This window comes from Homo sapiens, chromosome 1 (assembly GCF_000001405.40).
Source record: "Homo sapiens chromosome 1, GRCh38.p14 Primary Assembly".
NCBI lineage: Eukaryota > Metazoa > Chordata > Mammalia > Primates > Hominidae > Homo > Homo sapiens.
In genome coordinates, this window is record NC_000001.11 from 12,496,227 (window position 1) to 12,519,529 (window position 23,303).

Below are 23,303 nucleotides of genomic sequence, written 5' to 3' on the forward strand. Positions count from 1 at the left end.
TTGTAAAATTATTGCTGGATTTTTGTCTTTCCAGCACACATTAAACCTCACCAAGGTATGGGGCTGTCCTTCAGATGTCACAGCCTGATGAACTGAGTGCTGACCTGGCTTTGGGAGCACTTTTCAGTTATCCCAGCTGTGCATGGCCCATTGCATGGCCTGTGACAATTTTCTGGGGTTGTTTCTGTCCATATTTCCAACCTGACTTGCCCACCAGGGCACTTTCTGCCCTTGTAAGTAAATCTCTATGCTGCTTACTGTTAGTTCCTGTTTCTGAAGTGCTGATTCGATGTGTAAGGCTTCTCCTCTCTTTTAGATCTGTCTAGAGAGGAGTGTTTTGCTTCAGTGAGCTCCAGGAACAAATAATAAGTACAGCAAGTACAAGGCCGAGGACAGACCCAGTGCACTCTTATCAGTCATCTGAAATATGCACAGCCTTTCCAAGACAAATGTGCACTCCTGTTTCTAGGAAAACACCAGAAAGTACTTACCAATTACCCTGTATATGCTGTGTGGAAAAAGACAACATCAGCCTACCCTGAAAGCCATAACAAAGCAGATTCCTCCGGGCCGCCGACAGCTGAGTGGCCCGAGTTAGAGCCTCTGCAGAATCCCAGCCTGTGGCCTGGGCCAGGTCCAGGTCCAGGTCCAGGTCCAGGTCCAGGTCCAGGTCCAGGGGGCATTCTTCCCCTCGCATGATTACCACGTCCCTCACCCTTTGCCCAAGGAACTGACCTCATCTTAGAAGAAGTCTCAAGGGTTGGTGTGTTCTTACTAAGTGCCCAGGATTTTCTTCCAGACCCATCACAAATCCAAAGATGGCTCTCCTGAAGAGAGGCCTAAAAAAGAGGGTGCGGCCCAGGGGGATCTATTATAGTAATAACCGCAGGAACGAGAGCCGCCGCTGGTGGGCAGCTCACCATCCGCCAGGAGCAGGCTTGGCGGGCACTGTTTTATTTGGTCTTCACAGCAGTCCTCTAAGGTAGGTGTCATCGTCCTGTTTCAGAGAGAAAACGGAAACTGAGGGTTAAGGAAGGTAACCAACTTATCCATGATCACATGGCCAGAAAATGGTAGAGGCAGGATTCAAAGTCAAATGAGGGTCTTTAACCGCTATTTCATGGTGTATTCACAGGCAGTACTGTAGGTTAATTCTGTTCACTAAATGTAAAGTATGTCTCGTATTACAGAGTGCTTTTGTCTTAGTGAGAAAGGAAAATCATTTTAACCTGCACACTTAACCTCTTGGCTTTATGTCCATTTACCCATCTAGGACTCAAGCACAGAGGGTTCGGAAACCGCGTTGCTGCACGGGGCCCCAGGGGCTGCTTCCCCGATATTCTGAGAGCCAGGCGGAAGGACAGGAGCAGCTCTTCAAACTCACAGACAACATACAGGACGAATTGTAAGTTAGAGCATGGGAAACCAGCCCTGTGGGTCTACTGAGTTGCCTCTTCTTTTGATCCTGAGAAGTCTCCATCTGATCTGAGTTATTTTCATGACTCTTGGACCTTAGATCTGGTCAAAGAATTCCTTGCCCCAAATGTTTTTTAGATTTAGATATAACTGATGCTAAACAGCCTTTTACTCAAAGCAGTGGTTCTCAACTGTGTGCCATAGCCTGGCCTTAGTGTTTTGTTTCTAGAAAATGACAGTCTCTTTCTAGTTAGTTCAAAGAGAGAAGATCATGAATAAAATGTTCTCAATTTTAAGGTTTTTCTCCTGTAAAAATTTCTTAAAGTTTGATATCCCATTTTTGCCGCAGAATGCTAGCAAAACAAAACAGAAAAACAAATAGCAAACAACTAATAGTTGGACATTTTGGAAATGTATTTTTCGTAAGATTGCTTCGTTACTCTTTAAATATGGAGCCTTATATACCTTGTCATATCTTCAGTTAGTGATATTATTCCTAGTTGACACGGTAGAGTTAAGTATTTCACTATTTTAGGATATTTTGCAGAGATCCTTGTAGCATGAAAGTGCTCTATAACCTGAATAGGTGTTAGAACCACCAGCCCACAGAAAGCAGTTAGTTGTGTCTGGGAGTAGCAAAATACTAGATTAATTTCTTCTGATGCTTATTTGCCATCTCCTTTAAGGTAAAGCGAGCGTGGGGGATTCTGAGTGCTGTGGGTGTTTTTCGGTGGGTGGAGGAATGTCTGAAATAGACGTCAACTGTCAGGATAGTCTTCAGAGTCATTGTTAGGGACAGTGTTAAGTAGATCTCATCTCATAGTTTCATGGTAGTATTTGAATGGGGATATCAAAAGCCAACTCCAGAAGGTATTTGTTGCTTGCCGGATAGAATGGCATCTTCCTACATGTGCCTTGTGTGACCCCTGTGGTGTTATTAGAAGGTCTCTTGAAGATGGAGTTGTACTTTCTTGTTTCGTCTACTTGGGTTGCCATTATAAAATATGATAGGCTGGGCAGCTTAAGCAACAGAAATTTGTCTTCTCACAGTTCTAAAGGCTGAGAGGTCCAGGATCAAGGCATCTTCTGATTCTGCTGCTGCTGGGGGTTCTCTTCCTGGCTTGCAGATAGCCCTCTTCTCACTGTGTCCCCACATTGCAGAGAGAGAGGGGGAGCTCTCTGGTGTCTCTTATAAGGGTACTAATCCTATCAGCTCAGGGCCCCAACCTTATGACTTAATTTAACTGTAATTACTTTCTTACTCCAAATGGTCACATTGGGGTTAGGGCTTCCACATATGAATTGGCGGGGAGGGGGTAACTCTGTCCACAGCAGGTGTTGCTAATAGGTTCTGCCGTTTCAGTCCAGTGCCCAGAGTGCCCATCAGTTCACTCCAGAACTGCTCCAGTTCATTCCTTGGGGCAGGGATTTGGTACCATGACTGCTCTTGATATTGCTTTGTAGATGGAACTTTTAGCCTTTGGATGGGGGGTCTAGAGACCCCCCATCCAAATTTCTCAGGTCTGGCAGGATGTGGTGCAGAGTCTACTACAATGGCAGCCCTGTGAGGCTGGGATTTTTGCCTGTTCCATTCAGGAAAGAATCCTCAGCACATAGAACAGTGCCTGGCATCTAATAGGTACCCAGTACATATAGCCAGATAGCTGCAGTTCAGCATTTGTGTTCACATGCGTCCATTTTCCATTCATTTGGGGGTTTTTTAGTCACAGGCTAAATGAGATTATAAATTATTGCATGTTTTCTTTTCACTTTCCTCCCCAACTCACCTCTATTCAAGTCGAACTATCTCTGGTCACTGTGAAATTTGTTTGCAATAGAAGAAATTGCGTGGTACAGCCAACATAGGACTGCTCCCAGTGAGATACACACATTGAAAAACAGAGCCAGAGAGAGCTAAAAACTGGAATCGAAATGAAATCAGTAAAATAGCTTTCATGAAACTCATGAAATTCATATGAACTAGGAAGAGATATTGGCATGAATGAATTTTGACTTTAAAGATGAAAACCATGTGTCTCCACCCAAGTTGTGGGTTAAATCTTGCCAATGAATGCTGAAGGAGGCACGTGACCACGGCCTTCCCAAGTGTACAAGGAAGAAGCCATCAGGGAGTGTGTCGCATGTTCCTCTGAAGTGTCCTCAGTTGTCAGCCTGGGTCTTCGCGGTGGAGTGAACATTACACTCATCACTCTGCAAGAAAGGAGTTTTCAGGAAAAGCCCACGAGCGCCAAATTATACCTCTGACTTTTATCCTAGATTTGTAATTAAAAACATGTTTAAAGACCTAATTATTTGCGTATTTCCCTTCAGAGTTAACCCCTTTAAAGGATCTTTAATACCTTGCTCTACTGTTCTGACTAAATGTTTCCACATTTTTTTCCAGTTAGGCTCACTGTTTCACTTCTGGAAAATATTGTGTAATTATTTCCCGATGGAGTGAAAACCCCACGAAGTCCCCAGTGCCTTGGTGACTTCAACTTTATTCTCCCAGATCGAGTTGCATTTAATTTTGTCATTCTATTTAATTAATTAATATTAAAAAGATAGTTACCAACGTATGATTTCTGGTCTGGCCAGCTGAAAAGTCTTCACTTTCAAATTAATCATATATTCCTCTGATAAGTTGCACAATTGTCATTGCTTCCCATCTTTCTCAGTTTTGGTTTTGAAACAGGATCTGGATTAAGATGATGTTAAAGTAAAATTTGTCCTATATGGTGAAATTAATTTTTCTTTCTAACTCATGTCTCATTTGTAGCCAGAAACTCATTTTCTTTTTTTTAAGGTACCTATTTTATTTCTAATACTGCATCACCTATAACGGTGCACACCAGGCTGGTGAGCAGTAGGGTGGCTCCTGCCTTTTAAAAAATGCTCATGAGCAACCCACATGACCTACGAAGCTGCTCTAATGTACTGCTTTCTGGAATTAAGACAATTTAAATTGTACTTTTAAAATATAGTTTTAGAAAGTAACATTTATGGGATTTTTTAAATACAGAAAAGTATAAAAAATAAAAGTACCCTATGCATCCACCAGCCAGATAAGTTGTTCCTCTTTTCAATTTTTTGTAGAGATGAGGTCTCGCCATGTTGCCCAGGCTGGTCCGAACTCCTGGCCTCAAGTCATCCTCCCACCTCAGCCTCCCAAAGAGCTATGAGGCCAAAGTGGGAGGATCGCTTGAGGCCGGGAGTTCAAGACCAGCCTGAGCAACATGGCAAAACCCCATCCATACAAAAGTTAGCCGGGCATGGTGGCACACACCTCTATCCCCAGCTACTTGGGAAGCTGAGGTGGGAGGATGGTTTGAGCCTGGGAGGTCAAGGCTGCAGTGAGCTGAGATCACGCCACTGCACTCCAGCCTGGGTGACAGAGTGAGACCCTGTCTCAAAAAGATACTCATATGCATGGTTAGCAAATCCAAGAGTATAGAAGAAAATAAAATCAAGAGTAAAAGTCTCTTTTCTTATCTACTTTGTAAACATGCTGTTTACGATTTTTGTATCTTGTCTCCTTGAGAAATTTCACAGAGAGAGAGCAATCAGGAAAATTTTTGAGCGCACCATATAATATTGATTCTAATAGCATATCATTATAAATACAAACCTTATAGTAACATATGTAGTCTCAAGGACTATATATGTTTCATTCCTTCTGAGGAATGGAATAGAATTTATTAGCTTCCATTTCCTAAACCAGGAAATAATGTACTAGTAACTGTTGACACTTACAGAATTGGCCATTTGTTGATACACCTCTGAATTAAAACTTGGATTTGGCAGATGGCTCAGCTACTCTGATAAAGTTAAAGGTTTGCTAAATCTTTAAAAGCTAAATCAGGAGTTCTAAGAGAAGTTTTCAACTTTCCTACTGGTAACATGTGTCCAGCATCCAAAGTTGCCTGTGCACTGGCAAATTTCTTGCCTTACCCTAATGCCAGTGTCATTTTCTGAGACAGACTAACGCATACATTTATTGAATCCTACTATGTGCCAGGGTGAGTAAGAAATTTCCTCTGTCCTCAGTGCGTTCACAGTTTAGCAGGGGAAGCAGACACTGTATTACCAACAACCTATAACATATATTGCTGTTAAAATAGAAGTATGAGCAACGTATTATGGAACCACAGATGGGAAGTGATTAATTTATACTGGAAAGCCAGGGAAGGCTTCACAGAGAAGGCGCTGGATGAGTCGCCTGACCTTGCAGGAGGCGGAGGAATGTGCCAAGGAGAGAAGGCGCCTGGGCAGAGCACAGTGCTGGGCAGATACACGGGACAGAAGAGCTCACGGCAGGTCTGGGGAATTTGGGGTCAGCTTTTTGTAGCAGCAGCACGTGTGGAAAGAAGGAGCAGAGGCTGGAAGGGTGGGTTCCCAGGCCTGTTGCTGAAGGCTGACCTTAGTGGTCATGCCGAGGAGCTTGCCTCTCCTGTAGGTGGGAGTGAGATTGTGAGGAAGAGGATCCCACTCAAAATTCGTCATGAAAAATAAAACCTTGACAGCAGCAGGTAGAGAGACTGAAGGCAGGAAGCCAGTTAGGAGGCCCGTGGGATAGTCCAGGTAGAAGGTGGAGAGGCCTGAACACAGTGGCCGTAACGATGACTAGAAGAGGACAGATTGGAGAGGCATTTAGGAGGCAGCATCAGTGGAACCCTCAACTGCTAAATTGGAATCTGAGTGAGGAGGAGGGTTGAGAGTGGCTTCGGGCTCCTTGCCTGTCTGGTTGATGAGGCTGGGGGTGCTGAAGAGCAAGGGTTGGAGAAGGAGCATCTCCCCAGTGGACGAGCTGAGGTCCCCTGAAGAGGGCCTGGCACTCAGAGCGACACTGGGCCCAGACATGGAGTCAGGGCCATAGGTGGACCTGGGGTGGGTAACGCCTAGGGGTAGAGGAGCCTGTTCCAGGAGCTCTGAGTCAGGCTTCTGATTTTGAAATGACTCCAGAGGGAGTAGAATCAGGTATATAAATGAGTTAATATCGAAAAAAAAAAAAAAGAGCAGGAGGAAAATTAAGTAGAGTGGCTGAAACAGTTACTTGGCAGATTTCTCCCTGAGAGAAGCTGGTCATGAGTCTGTTTTCCATGTGGCCTTCTAGAGAGACATCTCTCTCCAATCTGCTGATGAGAGGATGTGTGGGGAAAGGAGGGGTCATCCCCCACAGGTTTGGGGTAACTGGGCACCTGTTCTCAACAGAAGAGCTACCATTAACTGCGGATCTCTTCTGTGTGGGGCACGTAGATTAGCTCACACCATCACAGTGGCCCTGCAGAGTAGACCCATGGGGTTCTACACATCAGGATGGGGAAGCTCTGGGCAAAGTGAGAGGCGGAGACGACTGGCATCAGGGTGGCTGGCTCCCCTGGCGAGGCTGCAGTGTGGCTTGGGAGGACGTTGTGACCTGCCCCAGAGGAGGCCTGAGGCTGCTGTTGATGCTACCATGGCTGCTGTTGTTGAGAATGCCCCGTGGTTCATGGTTTATGGATGACATTAGTGATGGTGCATTCTACTAAGGCGGCACTGGCTCCTGGCAGATTCACCCACTCTTAGCACCTGTCATCTTGGAAAAGGGTGTAAGCTGGTGCTGCAGCCTTCCCTTCTCTCAGAAGAAACTTTCTGACACTGAGCCCCAAGCCCAGAGTATCCTCTTTCTCTCCTTAAAGGGGAGTTAAAACTTTTTTCTTTCTTCTTCTTCTTTTTTTTTTTAATAGAGATGGGGTCTCACTATGTGGCCCAGGATGGTCTCAAACTCCTGGGCTCCAGCGATCCTCCCACCTCAGCTTCCCAAAGTGCTGGGATTATAGGTGGGAGCCACCATGCTCTGCCCTAAGAGTTGAAACTTTTAACCGAGGTTTAAGAATAGTATAAAAATCCTATTTTTTAAATAGAATCAATTATAGTATCTACAGCAACCTAAAATGTGTCAACTGAATACTGAGGTGACTTCTCTAGGTCTCAGATTGGAAGGATAAAGCTTATCTGATGCTGTGTGTTTCTGGCTGCATTTTTTTGCTCCCCTTTCCTCTCAGTTAATAGCAGATCAGAGAACAGAAGGAGTTTGCTCAGGGCCACCTGAGACCACGGTGGCCTTCTTCCCTTGAGGTTTTTCCAACAGTCACTCATTCGTGGACCAAAAGCAGGCCTTGCGGGAAGCTTGATTCTAAGGGCAGTGAAGACAGGAGAGCCTGGGGTTGAGACTACAAAGCAGTGTGAGCACTCAAGGAACCTCAAGTGAGGCAAAGGAAAGCCTGGGAGAACTAGGCCAGGGAAGGGGAATTACCTGTGGCTTTAGGGAAAGGGAACGGAAGAAGGTGCAGCTTGGCAGAGGGGAGGGCGGGGAGCGTGCCGCGTTTGCCAGGCTTCTCTTACCACCCTGAGTTTTGCTGCTTCTCTCACAGAGTGACAAGTTTGATATGAGGCTCCATTAGATAAGGGGTCTGGTCTGGAGCTGTTTAATTATTCTTTGATGTGTTTGGCAGATTTTGTAAAAAAAAGAAAAAGAAAAAATTAAAATTAATAATAATAACGATGATGATGCAACCCAAAGCCCTGGCCATTGTGGGATGCAGGAAAGCCTCAGGAGGATGATGGGGACAGAGCTGTGGCCACCTGGTCCCTGGGGTCACTGCCCAGTTCCAGCTGTGGCCTCACTCTCTCCCTTCTCCTTCTTCAGCCAGACCCTTGGCTCTGATCTGCTTTTGATTTGAAAGGACTTTAGAACATTTCATGCACAATTTCCAGAAATATGTTATTATCAGTAGCAGCTTCGGGGCATGCACAGGGTCCTGGACTTACAGGACAGAGATCCGTGTGGAGTGACAGCACTGCCTTCCTCCACTTACCTTTCTGTATGGCCATGAATTCCTTGACCTCCGTGCTCACTTTGTGAAGAAAACTGGCAGGGATTACCCTCTCCATCAGAGAGATGAAAGAGTCTGAGCTACCAAGAAAGCAACGGACTCGGCCAGAGTCAGCCAGCGGGCCGGGCTTTCCTGCCAGCTCGGCCTGTGTTTCCTTCGCTGTGCTCTCTACTTTTCCGGAGGGCGTCCCAGCTCAGAGTCACCCCTCCTCCAGAAGTGGTTCTGGCCTGATGGAGGACTTGAACCATCTGGGGCATCTTGGAAAAGAGTCTGTTTGAAAGCCTATAGAAGTGTTCCAGGATGGAAAGCACACTAGTCATGTCGGCCACTCTGGCCTGGGTGTGAGAGCATCTGCCCGGATGGGAAGCCCTTGGCTGACATGTAAATGTCAGCTATGTCAAGTGCCCAGGGTGGTGGCGCTGGGGGCTGGGGGCTGGGGGCTGGGCAATGAGGTGGAAGTGCCTGTGCTGTGCTCACCTAGAGGAAGGAACCTCACATCTCAGTTGGATTTTTCATGCACATTCCTGCTGTCATCCCAATCATGGTGGCCAACTTTGGAGTCTCCTTGGAGAGCCCGTGACGGCCTCAGTGGCTGTGCACCAGGCCCACCGATGCTCAGGGGTGTAGGCTGCTTCCGGGTCTCATCTCAGATCCCCGCCAGTTCTGGCTGGCGCTGTGTCACCTCTTCTCTGTGTCAGGATCATTTTTATCCCTCTCTGTCTGTCTTTCTGTCTTTCCCTGTGCCCTCCTTTCTTCCCCGGACCAGCTATTTCAGATTCCATTCAACTCTGTTCAGTGATGCTGCCGCTCTCAATGCGGTTAGAGCGCAAGATGTGAGAACGTCTGTGCTGAGTGGCCTAAACACTGAAGGCTGCGGGTCTTTCTAATTTCAGCATTGAGACTTTACAAGTCCACATTCTTGGCATTGCCAACCAGTTAGAATAGAACAATAAATCCCAGTTTTTGTCATGGGCGTCTGTAATTAAAATGGCAACTGGAACAAGGCAGTCACTTACTGAGCGCTGATGGGGTGGCCAACTCTGTGGGGTGCTCAGGAAGACACGGGGCTGTGAGATATGGACTCCACTTAGAGGGCTCACCTCGTAGTCAGCAAAGAGACTTATCCAGGACATGTGGAAAGAATGAGTTTGTGCTTGGCCATGCTTTGGGGGCCATCACAATTAAATGCTCAAAAGTGGAGGAGGGGCTGGAGTATGTGGGGGATGCTTCACAGAGAAGTTAGAACCTGTGATCCTTGCGGGGAGGGGGATGGGATCTAGAGAAGTTGGGAGAGCAGGTGTGCGTCCTGCACGGACCCCAAGTGAGCGAGGGCCCGGCAGCCTGCTCCCCTCGACAGGCAGGCCACCTCCTGCCCCCAGGCTTCTGCCCCCTTCAGAGGACCTGGGAACAACGCCGTTCTGGACCCAGGTTTCAGAACACTTCCAGGTGGAGCCTGGCTCTGAGCAATTCAGTTTGCCAGCAGGAGCTCGACTGCCACTCCGTCGTCAGCCTTTAGTATTCCTGCCACTGTCCATCCTTGTCTGCTGTCCCTGGACACTGCAGCCCCATTGTGAAGGGCTGTCACAAGATGCAGGGGAGGCAGCCAGGCCCGGGAGAACTGTCACACTGTTCCCAAGGTTCACTGCTCTTCATTCAGTGGCCAGAGAGGTTTGATGTGCATAAATTTCCACTTTGAATGTGTGAGCTCCATGATAGAGGAATTCAGTTTTGTTGGAGTGGCCCTAAAGCTCCTGAAGTAACAACTAGAAGTTTCCAAAAGGAAGATGACAGTTTTACCTAAGAAAGCGTTTTCTGACTCTTTGAGTTTTCTGAACATGAAGTGGATGGGGGGGTGCCCTGTCCCTGGAGGTGCTGAGCTTAGAGAGGGAGGAAGCGGATGGGGAGGTGCAGGTGTTTTAACGCCAGGCTGTCTCTTCATGGCGTGCCATTTGGTGAACCTGTTTAATTCTGCTTTTCCCCCCTCAGCTTTCAGCGCCCCCAGCTGCGTCTTCTCGCCCCTTCATGTTTCCCTCTCCTCTGCCAGGCAGTGAACTTTCTCAGCTGCTCCTTCAGTTTCACATTGAAAGGCATCGTGTTTTCTGTTTTGTCCAATAGAGTATTGTTACAGTTTTCTGTAAGCTTTAAGCTATCCAAAAATGCTCACAGAAAAACAACAAACACCCACAAGATAGAATTTCAGGATTTAGAAGTATTTCCCGGCAAGGGGGCCGGGATTCGCACTCAGGCCCTGGGGCCACAGAGCCCGCAGTGGGCCTCCCCCTGATGCTGGGCGAAGCCCCAGGTGTCACTCCTGTGTTCCCGTCTCGCTTTGCAGCTTCATCGCTGTGGAGAACATTGACAGCTACTGCGTGCTCATCTCCTCCAAAGCTGTTTACTTCCTGAAAAGTGGAGACTACGTGGATCGAGAAGCCATTTTCCTAGAAGTCAAATACGATGACCTCTACCACTGCCTTGTCTCCAAAGACCATGGGAAGGTGTATGTGCAGGTGACCAAGAAAGCCGTGAGCACGAGCAGTGGAGTGTCCATCCCCGGCCCCTCCCACCAGAAGCCCATGGTGAGTGCCTGGCTGTTCTCAGGCTCCTGAGGGGCGGGGCCAGGGCCTCGATGCCTCTGCCCTGCTTCCCCGTCCTCAGCAGGAGCTCATTTAGGAGGTTGAGGCTGGGCCCTTCCCAGGAGTGCTGCCTCTCAGTCCTGAACATGGGAGGGGCCCAGGGTATGTTCACGGGGCGATGCTGCCCTCCCAGCTGGCCCATGGGTGACCCTGGGAACATTAACTGCCTCACAACGTTTGTGCCTCAGTTACCCGTAGATGTAGTGAGGGTAACAATACTTACTCTCGTTGGTGATAAGGAACAGCTAACACAACACACAGGGTTTTTCTGCTCCCAAAATGGGATTCTTCAGTGCACCAAATCGAAGAAAGCACTGGAGCTCACGCTGGTTTCTCCATTGTTTCTCCTTAACAGTGGAAACCGTAACTTTTGTTCTAGTAGCATCTAGCATGCTCAATAATTATTTGTAAATAAAAGTTATACTTTCCCTCCAAAGGGGACAAGGTATTGTTATGACAAGGCTTTTAAATAATAAAGCTCCTGCGAATAGCTAACGTTCCTAGAGGGCTGGCTGTCTTGTGGGTTGTCTGATCACTGTGTTGCTGTCATCCCCTCCTCACTATTGGTCATAGCAGGTGATTCATTCAAGGCTACACAGCTGACCTTGAGGAGCCGGGGTTCAAATCCGAGTGGCTTGGCACCAGAGCTGGCTGCAGAGCCTCTTGCGGATCTGTCTCTGGCCAGTCGGCCCTGGAGGCTTGCCATGACACCCAGGTGTTAGTCCTGCTCATTCTCACCCGGCATACCCGGATTTTGAAGCTTGCATTCAAGAATGATACATTAATCAAAAGGGCCTGCCCACCTCTGCTCTCTCTATGGATCGGAAATAGCGCCAGCCTTATTGGGCCTCTCTCCTCCGGAGTCCTTTGGCCTCCCCCTGCTCATGAATGCATTTGGGCCTGTTTGGACTTGTGTAAGGCTCCCGTGGGGTCATTGGCTTAAGTTAGAGCTGGCTGATGAAGAGGGCGAGCACCTCAAAGTGTGAGTATTTCTCCAGATCCCTTCACTGTAGCAGGTGGGCAGCCTCGCCCACTATACTTCTGCCCCTTTCAAAGCAGGTGGGCAGAGAGGTGTTTGTGGTAAGAAAGACCTAGAGGCTTTTGTTCGCTGATTCTTCTTCCTTCATCAGCCATCACCAGACCTTAGATGTGAATCCCCCATTCTTGCTCTTGGTCTTACCTCTGCAGATCAGTTATGGCCGTGGGGGGGAGTTCCCAAATGTCAGGTGAGTATGGGTTGGCTGTACAGTCCTGGGGAATGTTTAAAAAGACCGGCTGGGCGCAGTGGCTCATGCCTGTAATCCCAGCACTTTGGGAGGCCGAGGCGGGCGGATCACGAGGTCAGGAGTTCGAGACCATCCTGGCTAACACGGTGAAACCCCATCTCTACTTAAAAAAAAAAAAAAAAAAAAAAATCGTTAGCTGTGCACATGCCTGTAGTCCCAGCTACTCGGGAGGCTGAGGCAGGAGAATCGCTTGAACCCGGGAGGCGGAGGTTGCAGTGAACCAAGATTGCGCCTAGGCGACAGAGACTCCGTCTCAAAAAAAAAAAAAAAATTGCAGGGACCCACCCCAGACTTGTGAGTGCGAGTGAAGCAGGAGCAGCCCTGGCCATCACTGTTTCTTTGACGTGTACATCCCATCCTGAGATGCAGCTGGGCTGGGAGCCGCCACCTGGGTGGATCTGATTCCTGGATTTCCCCATCCTGGGGACAGGTGACCCATCCTGTTCTCCTCCTTAGGTCCATGTGAAATCTGAGGTCCTTGCTGTCAAGTTGTCACAAGAAATAAACTACGCAAAGAGCCTCTACTATGAACAGCAGCTTATGTTAAGACTCAGCGAAAACCGAGAGCAGCTGGAGCTGGACTCCTGAAGCCCCGCTGCTGAGATGGGCGCTCCCGACACAGCGCAGACCCACCAGGAGGAAAGAGGCCCAGCTCTCAGCTGACGATGGAGGCAGAACCGGAGTCGGGTTTGGGGAAGTTGTCAAGGAATGAGGGAAAGTAAATCCTCATGAGGAAAAGTACAAATGGAAATCGTATTAATTTGTGAGGCAGGGAGTTATTTTAGATTATGGGAAATAATTTTTAAAGGTATTGGTTAAATAACGTTTAAAAACATGTACTGAGATGAATCTAATTTTTAGATTGCCCTGTATTTTGTTAACATGTATATATGTACAACAGTGTGTTTGTAAATATATAGGAACGTTTCTGAACAGGGTCTGTGCTATGTGTAAAGGTTTGTTAACTGTAAAGTAATATAAAGTTATATTGGATCTTCTATTGCACTAATTCTAGATGTCTAATTCAGGATACTGTCTATAGAAAGGCATTCTTAAAAGTTAAAGAATGTTACGTCTTAGTTTTGGAGACTAAAGTATTCCCAGTAAAGTGGGTTGAGGTGAGGGCTGTGGTCCTGAAAGGGACGCCTTTGACATCGTGGCTGTCCAGTTGGGCTGTGAGCTGTGGCACCCAGGACTGGCGCTGGCCCTTCAGAAGGATCTAGGAGAGGGGCTTGGGAGCCCACTTTTAATTTCTCACCCCCATTTTACAAAGAGTGCTTAGATTCTTACAAATTATGATGTAAGTTATCCATTTGGCTTTTTCCTAACTAGTCTTACCAAACTTAGGGGGAAACCTGTGCTCCATTACCACATGGGTGCAAGTCAGCATTGTAAGTTTTCTCAGGTTATTATTATTAGAGAGGTTGGAAACATTGGTAAACTCTGTTGATTGAGAAGGAAAAAAAAAGTCCCATTGAACTGTTGCAACAAATCAGAAATCCACATAAAAGTGCTCTCCTGCCTGGGCAGCAACAACCAAGAACAAAGCCCCGGGACTGTTTTCTTTTTAATAAAGCCACAGGCAGGCATCGTAGCTCCACAGCCCGAGGGGACACAGGATGGAAACCCCAGGATGAGAAGGGAGCAGGGAGAGTTCCAGAAAGGGGGATGAAATAGGAGTATTAAAAAGCTGCGTTGGTAAGTTTTTCATGGAACCAAGATTTGACAAAGGCATCTCTTATCCTTGGTTTTAAATTCCTGCTGGGAGCAAGGCCTGGTATGAGCGCCCTGGGTCTTGTTTTTGGTGTTTCGCTTTTCTGTAAGGATTAAGCAGATAGGGAGAAGGGAAAAGGGGCCTCACTTTAGAATGAATGAGTCACCTTGTGATTTTTAAATTTTTATTTTAATAAAGCTAATCAATTTCTACAACCTTGTCACATGTAGCTGAGTCTGGGATGACTCAGTGGATCAGTGGATGCGTGGAAGGTTTTGGTGTTTATAACTCATGACCCAAATCCTTCCAAGACACAAATGAAGCTAATCTTCTTCCCCTCCCTTTCCTCTCCCACTTCCCCTCTGTGTCTGTGTCTGTGTGTGTGTGTGTGTGTGTGTGTGTGTGCGCGCGCGCGCGTGCATGCAGAGAGGAAGGAAGGGAGCTTTAGCACAAGTAGCTACATAGTGTTCAAGGATCAGCTTTCTTGAACTCCGAGGCTTGGTTGCCTTTGCTGAACTCCAAGTTAGTGGATTGCAGAATGGAAACTTGGCTTTTGCGGCACTGGGTGAGTTTTAGTTTGTGTGTGTCTTGCTGGGGGGTGGTGATGATTGTCTCAGCACTCACGCACTGCACAAGATGGCAGCAGGATACAGCACTGCACAAGATGGCAGCTCCTCTGCAGCTTCCTCCTCAGCCTCCCTCCTTGCACCCCCACAGGTTTGGCTTGTGGTTTTTGTCATCAGTAACCTACTGCCTGAGATCATGATCTCTTAAAAGATGAGACTCTCGGAAGGGTTGATTGTATGCGTCAGTGAGCCTTCTATCACCTTCTGGAACAAAGTCACTTGAAATCTCTTGATGAGATTAAGGAGTTTAGTGTTACTAAGAAAATCTGCTTTGGGCCGCAGCAGTGCTGGGTGTTCTCAGACCTGACTGAGGAAGTTAGCTGCGGGCTGCCCTGTGGGCTGGTGCTTCAGGAGGAATCCAGAGAAGTGTTCAGATGCCCCCCTTGGGCTCCTTTCTAATTTTAATCAGCTCTTTAAATAGCTGCCCATCTCCTGTGATTGCACAACCAAGCACTTTGACATTTGCACCTTAGGAGAGGCAGATGTTAAAATGGAATCCAAAGACCACCTAGGGCGGGGCTGGGTGGGAGATGGGAGGGCCAACTGCGAGCTGCTCCACTTCTCAGCTCTCCCCTGCCCTGCAGCCCTGGGCCAGACAAGGCCAGAAGGTTTCAGGGGCATTTGACATCCCCTCCTGGTTCTCACCAGGAAAACATCCAAAGCTTTGGAGGAAACAGGCCCTGCCCCTGGCTCCTTAAATGCCCCGTCTCTTTGTAAACTGATATTCAGCCAGCAATGCCTAAGACTTTGTTAAGATCATTTCTACTGCTTTTCTTTCTGCTTCAAACACACAGTTCGTCTCTGAGGAAAGTAAAATAAATGGAATAAGAGTAAATTGGGTAAGGAGATATCCAAAGCTACCCAGTCCCTTGACCCAGCACAGTTGGCCGACCCGTGTCACTCCCTGGCTGTCGCTGCTTCTCTGTGCTCACTGAAGGGTGAGCCAGGCCAGTGCTTCCCCAGCCCCTGGGCCTGGTCACTACACAGTGGAAAACAGACAAGCGGCCCCTTCCCCAAATCCCAAGAGTGTCTTGCTGCTTGGTGGGTGCTCATCGCAATGTTCTGAAGGCTCCAGGGCCACTTTGTTTGTAAGTATGATCTGGGCCTCAAAATACCATAGTAGCTGCTTGATAAAATTCTAAAAATATCTGGTTCTCTATTATGTAAACACTATTACAGTCACCAGTGTGTGAAGACTCTTGAGTCTGGTTCTCATATCAGAGTCATCATTTTTCTTCCTGTGGAATAAAATGCCTTGTGGACTTCCCAAACTTGTTCTTTTGTTTTCTTCTGGTCTCTTGGTGATCCACAGCTTCTAGAGCTATCACCAGTGACAAATACCAAACATAGTGTGATGTTCACAATAAAATGTGGCCTCTGCCCCCAGGCCTGGGGAAGCACCCCCACACCTTAACCAGTCTCAGCCTCCCAAGAGTAAGTAGTAGTCTCCGCGCTACACTGGCTGCTGATCAGTCCATTCTGAGGTTCCTGGTCCAAGCCCCAGCAGGACAGACGTCACACTTAGGGTTTAGGCAGCTGAAGAAGAAACAGCAAAGGAGGCCGGGCATGGTGACTCATGCCTGTAATCCCAGCACTTTGGGAGGCTGAGGCAGGCGGATCACAAGGTCAGGAGATTGAGACCATCCTGGCTAACATGATGAAACCTCATCTCTAACCCCGACTATATCGCCCCTCTCTATTCCATCCACTCCACCTCAAAATTAATAACCTTGTGTGTCGCCCAAATTTTCACCACGTTATATAATTATGTGTATAACTAAAACTACAAAAAATTAGCTGGGCATGGTGGTGGGCGCCTGTAGTCCCAGCTACTTGGGAGGCTGAGGCAGGAGAATCACTTGAACCCGGGAGGCGGAGGTTGCAGTGAGCCGAGATCACACCGCTGCACTCCAGCCTGGCACAACAGCCTGGCAACTCTGTCTCAACAACAACAACAACAACAACAAAACAGCAAAGGAGGCTCAGCAGGATCATCCAGAGATGGAGTGACACCAGGAGGGTATGGATCCTAGAAGCTGAGGCCAGAAAGGTTTCAAAGACTACCGAGGGCTGCTACTAAGTCAGGTGGGATTCGGACCAACAATTATCAGTGGACCTAGCAATGCTGAAGTCACTAGAGACCTTTCTAAGAGCTGTTTCAATGGAGCATTGGAGGTGAAAGCCGGGTTGGAGTAGATTCAAGAGGAAAATGGAAGGAGAGAAATAACAACAGCTCTCTACAGGAATCTGGCCATAAATGGAGAGAACTGACCGGAAATTCAAGAGGGCAGGGAAGGAATAAGGGAGAAGAGGGCCTGGCGGGCCAGGAAGATGGGTGGAGGTGGGGGAGCTTGAGATTCCATTGATTGCTCCTGATTTCTCACATCAGGCAAGAATGAATACAGGGCGGGAAGTGATGCTGATTTGGAGAGAGAGAAGGTGCACGTAGTCATGTAGGGTAACGGGAAAGGGAATAGGCCACAGAAGCATGGTATGTTTGCCGGGCGACATTAAGGACCCATTTGACGTTGATGACCGTGAATGTACAGTGGAATCGGGCAGCCTGGCTGTATTCTTGTCCGGCCACATGTAGCTGCACAGCTTCAGTGTTGTAGAACAGGCAAAGAACTGGCTTTAATCAAGAAATGTTCCCCTCACCTATTCAAGTACCTCATCCACCATTGCCCAGTTGAACTGGCCAAGAGCCAATCAGAACAAAATGTCAACAGAAATCCAAAAGCCTAGAGAAGGGAGGGGCTACGCTTTCCAAACCAAAGCACAGCTTCTGAAGACTATGCCCCTTCCAAGTGGGAGAGACAGTGGAAGGTGTGGTTAACAACCCCCACACGCGCACACAATTAGACTCTTTTCAGGGGTTCACAGATGCAGTGGGACAGTCAGTGTTTGACAGTGAACCAGCCAGGCACTCCAGGGCATGGGGATGTCATTGACATAGAAAGGGTATGTGTATGACGATCTTCCATTTCCTCAGCCAAATTCAGCAAGCCGTCTTGCAGGTATTGGTTGGCTGCAAACACAGCTTTCACCCCAGCTCTTTAGACCAAGAATGTGATTTCTAGCACCGTAAGAGATACTTGATGTTTGCTGTTCACTGGACACTGCATCCCAAGACCCTAATAACAGAAAGTGCTTCCTGAAAACACACCCAAGCATGTTCATTATTATTTAGAAGTTTGGATTAACCTGGAAGAGCACTTCTTCAGGAAATTGGAAGTGAGATTGCACTCGCATCTGCAAGGGTCTTGAAGATCATCCAAGTTGTGGCTCTCTGGCTGAGGGCATGATAAAAGCAATCATAAAGACCAAAGAAAGGGACTGTAAACCTAGCGCTTTAGGAAGCCAAGCCAGGAGGATCAAGACCAGCCTGGGCAACAGAGGGAGACCCTGTCTCTACAAAAAAAAAAAAAAAAAAAGGTCGGGCATGGTGATGGATGCCTGCAGTCCCAGCTTCTTGAGAGGCTGAGGCAAGAGGATCACTTAAGCCCAGGAGGTTAAGGCTGCAGTGAGTTATGACTGCACCACTGTACTCTAGCCTGGGTGACAGAGCAAGACTGTGTCAAAAAAAACTCACTGCTGAATAATCCTACTGACACTTTTTAAAAGTAGTCTTCCCTTTTTGCTCCCCCCACTATATCGCCCCTCTCTATTCCATCCACTCCACCTCAAAATTAATAACCTTGTGTGTCGCCCAAATTTTCACGACGTTATATAATTATGTATGGTTTCATAAGCAGATATACATATTCATAGATTCCTAACATTTGTGTTTACAAAAATGGAATCTATTAAACACTGTTCTGTGACTTGCTTTTTTTTCTCACTGTTCCCTCAGGCTGGTATCACTCTAGTTTATTCTCTGAAGTGCTGCATGTTCATTAATGATGTAAGTGTTCTATAATTTACTCACCTATTCCTGCTTCAATGGGCATTCACTTTGCTTTCCAGCTGCTTCCACCCTGCCCCGAAGATCAACACTGCAATAGATGCCCTCCTATGTATGCATTTACACGCCAGTTCTATTTCTGTGCAGTCCTTTCCCGGGAGCTGATTAGTTAGGAGGTATGTTCCGGACCACTTTCCCCCAGTGCTGGTAGGAATGTGAAGGGCAGCACCCATCTCTGCGCCTCTTACCTGTGTGATGGGTACGAAGTGATAGTTCATTGTTACTTTATCTTGCGTGTCCCCAGCAGCGAATTTGACCATCGTTTTGTTTGTTGGCATTTGGATTTACTGTTAGGAATGGCATTTGCTGAATTATAGCAAATGCCTTTCAGCATCTGTTATTATGAACAGTTTATTATTATACTGTTTCTTCTCCTTTAATTTTTGTTTAAGTAACATGTTGATAGATTTCCTGATATGGAACCACTCTTAATCCCTGGAATTAATGGATTCCACTTGGATAAAATGTGTTAGTTTGTTATTCTTTTGATACATTCCTGGCTCTTTTTGCTAATATTTTGAGTCTTGGCACTTTTTAAGTGAAAGGGGCCTATAATTTTCTTTTTTTCAGAGTAACCTTTTTTTTTTTTCTTTTGAGACAGGGTCTCACTCTGTTGCCCAGGCTGGAGGGCAGTGGCTCAGTCTTGGCTCACCGCAACCTTGAACTCCTGGGCTCAAGCGATCCTCCCACCTCTTCTTCCCATGGAGCTGGGGCTATAGGCGTGTGCCACCTTGCCTGGCTAATTTTTTTTATTTTGAGTAGAGATCGGGTCTTACTGTGTTGCCCAGGCTGGTCTCAAACTCCTGGACTCAACTGATCCACCTGCCTCAGCTTCCCAAAGTGCTGGGATTATAGGCATGAACCACTGTGCCCGGTCTCTTCATCAGACTTTAGGATGAAAATTATGCTGTCTTCGTAGAATGGACTGGGGAACTTAACACCATTTGGCTTACAATACTTAAATTACATTAGAATTTTCTGTTCTGTTTTTCAAAGCTTGGATAAAAGCGGGCTGTAAACCCTTGGGTTATAAAACTTTTTTTTGAGATGGAGTCTCGCTCTGTCACCCAGGCTGGAGTGCAGTGGCGCGATGTCGGCTCACTGCAAGCTCAGCCTCCCGGGTTCAGGCCGTTCTCCTGCCTCAGCCTCCTGAGTAGCTGGGACTACAGGTACCTGCAACCACGCCCGGCCAATTTTTTGTATTTTTAGTAGAGACGGGGTTTCACTACGTTAGCCAGGATGGTCTCAATCTCCTGACCTCGTGATCCACCCGCCTCAGCCTCCCAAAGTGCTGGGATTACAGGCGTGAGCCACCGTGCCCGGCCCCCCTTTTTTTTTTTTTTTTTTTGAGTCGGAGTCTCTCTCTGTTGCCCAGGCTGGAGTGCAGTGGCGCGATCTTGGTTCACTGCAAGCTCTGCCTCCTGTGTTCACACCATTCTCCTGCCTCAGCCTCCCGAGTAGCTGGGATTACAGGTGCCCGCCACCACACCCGGCTAATTTTGTTTTTGTATTTTTAATAGAGATGGGGTTTCACTGTGTTAGCCAGGATGGTCTTGATCTCCTGACCTCATGATCCACCCACCTCGGCCTCCCAAAGTGCTGGGATTACAGGCGTGAGCCACTGCACCTGACTTTTGTTTAAGAGACAAGGTCTTGCTTTGTCACCCAGGCTGGAGTGCAGCGGTATGATCATAGCTCCCTGTAGTCTTGAACTCCTGGCCTCAAGCCATCCTCCTGCCTCAGCCTCCCAAGTATCTGGGACCACCGGCACATGCCACCATGCCCAGCTAATTTATTTTCTTTTTTGTAGAGGCAGGTCTCTCGCTTTTTGCCAAGGCTGGTCTCGAATTCCTAGCTTCAAGTAATTCTCCTGCCTCGGCCTCCCAAAGAGCTGGGATTATAGACATGAGCCTGGCCTAGAACTCTTTTTTTTTTTTTTTTTGAGACTGAGTCTAGCTCTGTCACCCAGGCTGGAGTGCAGTAGCACAATTTCAGCACACTACAACCTCGGCCTCGTGGGTGCAAGCAATTCGCCTGCCTCACCTCCCAAGTAACTGGGACTACAGGCGCCCGACACCACGCCCGGCTAATTTTGTGTGTGGGTATTTTAGTAGAGACAGGGTTTCACCGTGTTGCCCAGGCTGGTCTCGAACTTCTGAACTCAGGCAATCCGCTCGTCTCGGCCTCCCAAAGTGCTAGGATTACAGGCATGAGCCACTGCGCCTGGGCTAGAACTCTTTTCAGTGGTGCCATTTAATCATCATCCCACACTCTACTCTGTTTATTGGAGTATTCAAGTTTTCCATTTCTTCATAGGTCAATTTTGGTAACATTTGATTTTTTTAAATCATTCAGTTCTCTTAACTTTTTGAATTTGTTGCTGGTACAGTTGCATGTATTCTCTTAAAATTATTTTGAGGCCTCATATCTGGTTATTTCTCCTTTCTCATTCCTTATCTTGCGTGTTTTTACCTTTTTTTCATAACTAAGTTTTTGAGGATGTTAGTGTTCTTTTCAAAGAACCGGTTCGAAATGTACTTTTCTTTGCTACTTTTTGTTATTTTATTGATCACATCTTTAATCTTTTGTTCTCTATACGTGGCCTGTTTTGATTTATTTTACTATTCTTGCTTTCTAAGGTAAGTATTTTGTTGTGTAGTGCTGTATTTTTTTCATCTTTCTTCTTGAATAATAATGACATTTTTAGGTTATAAATTTTCCTCTGGTACTCAGTTTGCCTCATTAATTTTGGCAGTAAGCATTCTCCTTTTATTGCTTTCTATGTAGTCTTTAATTTTGCTTTTAATTTCTTCTTTGATCTAAGGATTACCTACTTGTTAATTTCCAAATATTATCTTATCTATCTATCTATCTATCTATCTATCTATCTATCTATCTATCTATCTATGTGAGACGAAGTCTGGCTATGTCGCCGAGGCTGGAGTGCAGTGGTGCAATCTTGGCTCACTGCAACCTCCGCCTCCCAGGTTCAAGTTATTCTCCTGCCTCAGCCTCCCGAGTAGCTGGGACTTGGTATGCCACACACCCGGCTAATTTTTTGTATTTCTAATAGAGATGGGGTTTCACCATGTTGGCCAGGCTGGTCTCGAACTCCTGACCTCAAGCAATCCTCCCGCCTCAGCCTCCCAAAGTGCTGGGATTATAGGCATGAGCCACTGTGCCCAGCCAAATTATCTCCTTTAAATTAATGTTTTGAATTTTATTGGATTGTGATCAGTAAATAAATGTAACCTGAAGATTTCTACACTCTAGAAACATCTGGGCTGCGCGCAGGGGCTCATGCCTCTAATCCCAGCACTTTGGGAGGCCAAGGTGGGCGGATCACTTCAGCTCAGGAGTTTGAGATCAGTCTGGGCAACACAGCGAAACCCCATCTCTGCAAAATATACAAAAATGAGCCTGGCGTGGTGGTGCGTGCCTCAGTCCCAGCTACTTGGGTGAGAGGATCCCTTGAGCCGGGGAGGTTGAGGCTGCAGTGAGCCATAACCACTGCACTCCAGCCTGGATAACAAAAGTGAGACTCTGACCAAAAAAAAAAAAAAAAAAAAAAAAAATTCATTGTAATTTTCTTATTGTCCAAGTACTTGATCAGTTTATGTAAATGTTCCAGGGCCAGGCTCAGTGGCTCATGCCTGTAATCCCAGCACTTTGGGAGGCCGAGGCGGACAGATCATGAGGTCAGGAGTTCAAGACTAGAATGGCCAATATGGTGAAACCTCGTCTCTACTAAAAATACAAAAAAATTAGTTGGGCGTGGTGGCGTGCGCCTGTAGTCCCAGCTACTTGGGAGGCTGAGGCAGAAGAATTGCTTGAACCCAGGAGGCGGAGGTTGCAGTGAGCCGAGATCGTGCCACTGCACTCCATCCTGGGCGACAGAGCGAGACTCCATATAAAATAAATAAATAAATATTCCATGAACATATGAAACAAAAGTATATTATCTCTTTGAGGCATACAAATAGAGATAGACAGACAGACACACAGAACTTTGTAGACTATCTGAATTAAGTCCTACAGGATCTTATTTTGTGTGTGGGAGAGACTGCCTTGCATCTTCAAGTGGCCTGCGGGGCAGAGTCTCTAACTCCAGCTATATCCTTTGGAAGTGCAGTAAGTGCTTAAAGTAAACAAAGTTAGAAGAAAGGAAAAAGAAGAACACAGCAGTCTTAATTAAGCTTCCTCCAAATACTCCAGTTGGAACTTCAGAAGGATTTGACGCTGGAACAATTGCACTGCAGAGCTGCCTGCCCCACGCCCAGGAGCGGGGCCAACCCACTTGTCGCTGAGGGGAGCCAGATCGTGTTCTCCCACAGTCTTACCCAAGGAGCACGGCCAGCGTCAGCAGCTCCCAGGGGCTCATAAAACTTCACACCTCATGCTTATTCTGGTCTGACTCAAAAGCACAGAAAGGTCACGGGTACGTTTTGACTTGGAGGAAATGTGTGAATCTAGACCAACTTGGCTCTTGGAAACCCCGGGCAAGTGAGCCCCCAAGGGAGGGGGTGTGTGGGAGACGGGAGGGGGCGGTGCTGGGAGGGGGCGGGTGCTGAAACAGCTCCCAGGGCCACTTTAGAGGGAAAATTCCTGCCTTTTGGGCGTATTTTCCTAAGATGCTTAAGGGGTACACAGAGACTTCTGGGAAGCTTGGCAAAGCCTGCAGAAAGGCAACTCTCGATCTGTTCCATGGTTTGTCCACAGAGATCGAGCATCCCTAGGTGTTCCCAGACAACACACGTGAGTCTGATGCTACAGAACCTAACCCTCTGCC

At 47.2% G+C, this 23,303-nt stretch overlaps 1 protein-coding gene and 1 non-coding gene across 3 annotated transcripts in view, besides 3 other annotated features; both read left to right on the forward strand.

Moving 5' to 3' along the window:
- The window catches only part of VPS13D (vacuolar protein sorting 13 homolog D), a 282,018-nt gene extending 266,197 nt beyond the window's left edge, over positions 1 to 15,821 (forward strand). For both annotated transcript variants that reach the window (NM_015378.4, NM_018156.4), the window contains 3 exons: positions 1,274 to 1,405; positions 10,627 to 10,867; positions 12,667 to 15,821. In NM_015378.4, coding sequence (NP_056193.2) covers positions 1,274 to 1,405; positions 10,627 to 10,867; positions 12,667 to 12,798 — 505 coding nt within the window. In that variant the 3' untranslated portion in view covers positions 12,799 to 15,821. The remainder of the gene's footprint in view (positions 1 to 1,273; positions 1,406 to 10,626; positions 10,868 to 12,666) is intronic.
- Positions 735 to 1,235: an enhancer, noted in NCBI's record as "H3K4me1 hESC enhancer chr1:12557015-12557515 (GRCh37/hg19 assembly coordinates)". NCBI's record gives its function as "activates a minimal SCP1, AML or CMV promoter by ChIP-STARR-seq in primed H9 embryonic stem cells {active_cell/tissue: H9 hESC(primed)}" and the evidence as "EXISTENCE:reporter gene assay evidence [ECO:0000049][PMID:30033119]".
- Positions 11,020 to 11,171, forward strand: SNORA59A (small nucleolar RNA, H/ACA box 59A). Its single transcript, NR_003025.1, has one exon. It is a non-coding gene; the product is annotated as a small nucleolar RNA, H/ACA box 59A (small nucleolar RNA).
- Positions 11,647 to 11,816: an enhancer, noted in NCBI's record as "experimental_247 CRE fragment used in MPRA reporter constructs". NCBI's record gives its function as "activates a minimal promoter by MPRAs in K562 erythroleukemia cells, with activity observed for the non-introgressed 1:12568012 variant allele {active_cell/tissue: K562}" and the evidence as "EXISTENCE:reporter gene assay evidence [ECO:0000049][PMID:34662402]".
- Positions 12,183 to 12,684: an enhancer, noted in NCBI's record as "H3K4me1 hESC enhancer chr1:12568463-12568964 (GRCh37/hg19 assembly coordinates)". NCBI's record gives its function as "activates a minimal SCP1, AML or CMV promoter by ChIP-STARR-seq in primed H9 embryonic stem cells {active_cell/tissue: H9 hESC(primed)}" and the evidence as "EXISTENCE:reporter gene assay evidence [ECO:0000049][PMID:30033119]".